Source organism: Homo sapiens, chromosome 13 (genome assembly GCF_000001405.40).
Source record: "Homo sapiens chromosome 13, GRCh38.p14 Primary Assembly".
NCBI lineage: Eukaryota > Metazoa > Chordata > Mammalia > Primates > Hominidae > Homo > Homo sapiens.
In genome coordinates, this window is record NC_000013.11 from 48,560,348 (window position 1) to 48,567,597 (window position 7,250).

At 38.5% G+C, this 7,250-nt stretch overlaps 1 annotated feature.

The window, feature by feature from the left end:
* Positions 1,249-1,348: an enhancer, noted in NCBI's record as "active region_7734". NCBI's record gives its function as "activates an Ori minimal core promoter by ATAC-STARR-seq in GM12878 lymphoblastoid cells {active_cell/tissue: GM12878}" and the evidence as "EXISTENCE:reporter gene assay evidence [ECO:0000049][PMID:35858748]".

Here is a 7,250-nt window from a genome sequence, read left to right on the forward strand (position 1 = left end):
TAAACGGGCAGCAGGAGGACCCTCGTGGTGATGAAATATTCTGTATGTTAACTGTGGTGATGGATTCATGAACCTATATACATGATAAAATTGGATAGAACTAAATACACAAATATTTACATGTTAAACTGGGGAAATATGAATAAGATAGGTGGCTTGTATCACTCTCAATATCCTGATTGTTATATTATACTACAGTTTTGCAAAATGAGGGAAACTGGTAGAAAGTATTCTCTGGATTATTTCTTACAACTGCATGTGAATCTACAATTATCTCAATAAAAAATTTCTATAAAAATGCTCTATTAAATAATCTATACATCTTAATTTTTATCTAAAATTCTATTTTATACCCTTTACCTGATTTCTTACACAGGGTTACAAGGTAAACTTATTTTGCAGGTTATTTCTGAAAGAGGAAAGAAAATAGTAAGATGGATAAATGTGCTACTAACTAACAAGTAGTAAAACGACCCTTCTCGGTTCTGGTGTTTTTTCAGCTGAGTCAGTTATATTAAGAATCATCTTCTCTGCCGGACTCACTCCTATAATCACAACACTTTGGGAGGCCAAGGTGAGAGACTGCTTGAGCTCAGGAGTTCAAGGTCAGCCTATGCAACATAGCAAGACCTGCAACAACAACAAAAACTAGCCAGGTGGGGTGGGGCTTACTTGTAGTCCCAGCTACTCGGGAGGCTGAGATAGGAGGATCGCTTGAGCCCAGGAGGTAGAGGCTGCGGTGAGCCATGATTGTGCCACAGCAGACAGAGTGAGACCCGAACGAAAAAAAAAAATTATCTTCTATAATTAAAAGAGTATGGTTGTAAAGAAGACACTTCCCTCGAATGTGGTCAGGCAGCATTTTCTTGGTAATTAAATGGTTAGGATCTTTTTTTCTTAGAATTCATATTGTACATGGCATCATGTGACTGAAGGGACATTTCTCTTGAAGTCTATCTGTACTATCTTTCTACAGCTGCAAAATTGTTCTCTCCACTGCACTTGTAGTAATGATGATTACTATTATTAATACTAATAGCCCCAACAACATTATGCAGTATAATGGCTCCAGTGATTATACTGAGAAGTTTGATGGAATTATTTTCCTGAGCTCATTCTAAAATTTCTTCTTGCTCAATATTATCTTGTTATTTCTGTTCATTTGTCCCTTACAATCTCCTACCTATTATTTCCCTGTAATTAGAAGCTCATGGGGGTGAGGCTTTTTCATTTTGGTTTCCTCTTCACTGCCTGGAGCACTGTGGGCACGGTTTCACTTTTGATGTTGACATCTTCAAATGGAGACTAGTGGCTTCACAAGTTAGGACAGTCACTGCATCAACCAGGACTAATTTGATAATATTCCTCAAGCTCATTATAATATTGGCTCTTTCCCAAACACCTTGATTTTTTGAGAGATTAGTACTAAGAAACCAGACTTACTCATTCCATTAAGACTTTGAAAATCCAACCCAAAATGCTCAGTCATTTTTTGTGACTCTATTTGCAGTAATATTTAATTTTTAAAATATTTAAGGTCATGATAAATTTGTCATTTACCAAGTAAACATTGATAAATATTGATATTACTATTTTTAGGTTTATTGTTATGTAGCATCTGAATCAGTGAATTTACACACTCTTAATCAGGGGAATAAAGTACACAAAAAAATTCAGCAGCAATTGCACCATTTACTGCTCTGATGTTTTTGAAAAAGGAAGTAAGTGACTGAGATACACAAAACAACCCATGCAACTTGAAGCAAATGTATCTAAACTACAGTAAAGTGACAGGAAAAATAAACTAGATGTTGCTCCTGAAAGGACCATTTTCTCTACTGGACCTGTCAAAACAGTGAACCCAATGACAGTGTTTAGAAAATGTTCACTGAAATGGACTCACAGACCAAAAGTATACAGAAACCTGCTGTTGAAAGCTATTCTTTCAGGATGACGATGATAAATCAAAAAACAAGTCTACTGCAAATAGAAATTATGTGGACCAGTGTCTTCTTCACTGAATATCACCTTCATAGAAAATGTGATACACCCTGATTTGAGATGTTTAGTCGCTTATCTGCAGGAAGCAACACTCACCTCAGAGAAGGAAACCTCAAACCACTCGCATGAGAGTTAGCTCCCATAGAGGTAGTGAGAGCTGCCTCTGAACCACAGAAGTACTTACTCATGCAAAGTGTGGCTTCATATTTGAACCAGGGAGATTCAGGTGTGGGTTTCTGTTCTGCCATGGAGTAAACCTCTCTGCCCAAAATTGCAGACTCAAACTTGGTACAATTTCCTCAGACCAACTAAATAATACGCCTAAGCTTGGACAAAGTCTATGGGAACACCAAAAAATTTTTTAATGATTTCTTACCTGAAGGGAGAAGGAACCTAATTATAGTAGTGTCATACAGGGTAAAGGTGGACAAGGTTAATATAATACAGCAGATGTGGCTTGAAACTGGGCAGTGGAGGCTGCAGAACAAGGGCTCCTGACCATTGCAGCTGTCTAGATTAACTTAGATGTTAGGCAATGCCATTTCCCATCTCTGTCTAGAATGATAGGCCTCTTCAACCACAATGGTCTCTTTGCCTTGAATTCTTCCTATCAGATTTCTTTTTCAATGATATCTCTACTCAAGATTGCTGAAACCAAAAGCAACTGGCAGAAAACATTTTATTTCCAGCAATACTTGACTATCTCCTCTATTGGTCAAAATGGTTTCAAATGCAATCAGTTCTTCATTTAAATCAGGCCGGGCACGGTGGCTTACACCTGTAATCCCAGCACTTTGGGAGGCCGAGGCGGGTGGATCACCTGAGGTCAGGAGTTCAAGACCAGCCTGGCTAACATGGCAAAACCCTGTCTCTACTAAAATACAAAAATTAGCCGGGTGTGGTGGTGCATGCCTGTAGTCCCAGCTACTCGGGAGTCTGAGGCAAGAGAATCACTTGAATCTGGGAGGTGGAGATTGCAGTGAGCCTAGACTGCGCCACTGCACTCCAGCCTGGGCAACAGAGCAAGACTCTGTCTCAAAAAAAAAAAAAAAAAAAAATCACAAAATGATGAACTTGATTTTCTTTCTTCTTCACTGAACTTAAATGTACCCAATATCTAAATGTTCCTAGAAATCTGTATTGAAGCCATAAATAATATACTTTTCTCTATGCCCAGATCTCTGTACTACAAACCTCTTTCTAAGAGATACATATAATGTCTAGCACTACTGGTGCTACTGGTGTAAAAATCTTCCTTTATTTGCCATGGTCCCTTATTATCATCATGGCCCCTTACTGTTATCATGTCTAGCTATAAAAAGTCTCAATTTAATTAGCAAATAGATTTCTTTATTGTCCAAATGTCCAAAAATAATATAAATCCATGGTCTAATGGAAAAACATGGGAAAATTTCTGTCTTTTCTTTTGTTTTTTTTGGTCAACAGCTGTCTGCTGACCTTAGATAAATCACCAGATCACCCTGACTCCCAGCTTCCTCATCTGTAATATAAAAGGACTGGTCTAGGTAAACCCCAAAGTCTCTCCCTGCTCTAAAAATTCCCAGTTCTACAGAGGACCAAGAGAAAGTAATTTCTTCCCTAATTATTCTATAAAGTTTCCAATTATCAATCCCATTCTTCTGGTTGCTTTGTATTCAAGGCTGGATTGCTATAATTATTTAAGGGTAATTATCATATTTAAATATAAGTGTTTAAACTATAAGGGACCATGGCCGTAGGAACCTTAGCATTAATTAGGCCATGTGAGACTTCCTTAAATTAAAAAATAAAAAAACTTTTCTGTTTCATCAACTATCAAGTCATCTGAGCTTGCTCTGGCCTTGATAAGCTTTTAATAAGCTGTGTGACTCACCCGGAAGACAGAGCAATAGATTCTGCTAGTGTTTTAGACGGTTTGTTGGTAAAAGTGCCCAAGGGAAGATAGGATATACAGTTGCCCATCAGCATCTTGGAGAGAGATTGAAAATGAAATTGCTACTTCAAAGGCAGAAAAACACAATGTCCTCAAGTTTCTTATGTAGAAATAATGATAAATAAATGCTATCTTATCTCTGGAGAAATTGGCAATAATGTCCCAGCTAAGGAAAAGTGATGATAATAAGGGGCCATGGCAAATAAAGAAGGATGTTTACACCAGTTTAAAAAGATCATCTTTCCCTGTTTCCTTTCCTCTTTTGACTGCTGACCTGCTGTATTATAACAGTGATAAGAGACACTTTGAGAGGTTTTACAAATACTGACTCTGCAACTTGGAGTTATCAGTAACTTTGTCCTGTGTCCTTTCTTTAGGCAAGAGAAAATAAAAACAAATGCGCACTGCAGTTTATCTTAGAATTGAGTATTGTGAGGGGAAAAAGGGGCCTAAAAAAGTCACAGATATATTTGACTAGAGGAAGTAGGAATACAGTTTAAGACCAAGACTATGATAGCTCAAACTGTTATGACCACTCAATATTTTCTGCTTTTTAAAATGTAGTTGATACCTGCCTTATGATAATGTAGGTAATTGCTAAGCATGAAATGGTAAGACGATTGTACAGATTTCAGGTGATTGTAACCCAAGATGGTTAGCCAATTTGAACAATATTATTTGTGTATATCAGTGTATCTATTCATGGATGAGTTTGTCTCTCAGGAGACATTTGGCAATTCCTGGAGACATTTTTGGTTGTCACAACTTTGGAAGGTCTGCTGGCATTCAGTGAGTAGAGGTCAGAGGTGCTGCTAATCATCTTTCAATGCACAGGAAAGCCCCCAACGACAGTCACCCAGTCCGACATGTCAATAGTGCTGAAGCTGAGAAACCCTGATGAGCATTATAAGGATAAAATCAATAAACATTTGGTGTGGACAGATGATTTCTGTGGTATGCCTTTTTAGGGGAGGAACAGCTCTGTTCCTAGAGAGTTGGAAGGTTGACCAGATAAATAAGGCCTCCCATACGCCAAGCCTGGGGTCAGGAAACTCCCTGACTGAGATGGAGCTGCTAGGCCATGATTTAAGGTACCCAATCCAATGTGCATGGCCAGAGGCCACCAAACTGCACCTGAGTCGGGTAATTCTTGGATTATTTCACCGATCTTAGGTAGAGTGTAAGAAACTCCTGTAGTCACTAATTCAACCAGAAGGAAGAATTCAGGCTTTTTCTCATATCTGCACACAGAAAAAAGTGGCTCTCCTCAAGTTAGCCAAGGTACAGACCAGAAAACAAGTAGTAGTTGCAATGATGAAACAGTCTGCACACAAGCAACTCGATCAGCCAGAGCAGGGAGTGGGAAACATAGGTATGTGTGAGTGTGTTAGCATGAGTGTGAGTGTGCATGTGCGTGTGCCCCAGATGAGGCATGCTGGTGAGGTCAGTCTTCTGAGGACCACAGATTTAGCCCAGGGACAACATGAGGCATCAGCCTTTAATTTCTGTAGGCTTCAGGTAACATTCCATCTATTAGGCTATATTTCACAGGTATGCTTGCAACTGGGAACGTGAGAAATGTATTCTTGAAATTTCATGTGGCTCATCTGACTTTGCCACATCAAATCAAAATGTCCTTCATCTCAGAGGTACTGCAGGTGGATTCTCCAGATTTCGGAGGAGGTACTAGAGAGTGATAATCTCATCAAAGATATTCCTGCCTTTTGTGTCCTAGGGTCTGTGACACACAGGCCCTTAGTTATTATGAGGCCTGTAAGTCTTCTGTGGGGAGTGCGTTAGGGGATGATGGAGAGAAACTTTATATGTTTAATTCAATTGTACTCGTTATTAAAGCTTATTCAATATATTTACAATACAATATAAAACTTTAGGTGATGTCTGAATCAAACATCTATTAAACAAATTGCAATATGTTTGGAACTTCATTCTAATTTTCCCATTAATTACCTAAATTCATTTATAAACTTCATACACCACCACTTATAGTTTTTAGTTCTGTAATATACACGTACATATATGAGTACAGTGTATATTCTTTGCTTTTAGGAAATCCAGTATAGGAAAATCTAAAGTTGGAAAACAGATAACCCTCAAGGTGATTATTTATATGATCAAATAATTGGTTACTTTCCAAAAGTCCCTTTCAATGAAAAAAAAAAAAAACAATAAAAAACTAAATCAAATCCATAAATATAAACTAAGTACCTAATCTTATGAGCAAGAAAGAGGAGAATGAATATACAAAGAAGACCAAGATTAATTTGGGGTATTTAAGACTTTATAGGCTGGGCACGGTGGCTCAGCCTGTAATCCCAGCACTTTGGGAGGCCAAGGTGGGCGGATCACCTGAGGTTGGGAGATCGAGACCATCCTGGCTAACATGGCAAAACCCCATCTCTACTAAAAATGCAAAAAATTAGCCAGGTGTGGTGGCGGCACATGCCTGTAATCCCAACTACTCAGGAGGCCGAGGCAGGAGAATCGCTTGAACCCGGCAGGCAGAGGTTGCCGTGAGCCGAGATCACGCCATTGCACTCCAACCTTGGCAACAAGAGCAAAACTCTTAAAAAAAAAAAAAAAAGAAAAGAAAACTTTGTATGGTTTAAGTGGCTTCAAAAGCATCATTTACATAACATTAACCACATGACTGGTGGGTAGAGTTGTTTCTGTCCATTAGATTCCTTCCTCAGGGAGCCACTTATCCCTGTTTGGGCCTGCAAGATCTTATGTCTTTTTTTTACGTAAACCTATAGGTCTTTGAATGTTTTTCTACTTTCTGGTACAGAACAGGCTTACCTTGTACTTTCTCTCTCCTAGCCCTGAACCTATTCAGTTTCTCCAAGATGCCCAGTGCAATGATATTTAGAAACCAAAATCTGGGTATCAGATGTGTCCATTGCTACTGAGATATTACTGCTTCTTGGCCCCTTTAGTAGAGATAGTTAGAATACATATTTATTTAAATTGTGACTGAATCTTACTGAATCCCCTGTTCCCAATTCAAAACCAAAGAGTTTTTCCTTTAATGGAAAGGCGTTCTACATTCTTTAACTCAAATCAGTGATCCCTAGTCAGGAGTGGTTCTTGACTCATGTTCAAGTTTGTAATCATTTATTTCTTATTTTGCTCCTAAAGTGACCCAGTAAGGGAAAGCTGATGTGAAGCCTGATTAGCTTTTACCGTGATCCCTTTTCCTAAGGAGCTTTCAACAGTTTCCATTCATTTTGCCTGACTCAGAAGGTACAATCTCTTATTTCTTTTAGTACCTTAAAAAACAAACAAACAAAAACACCAC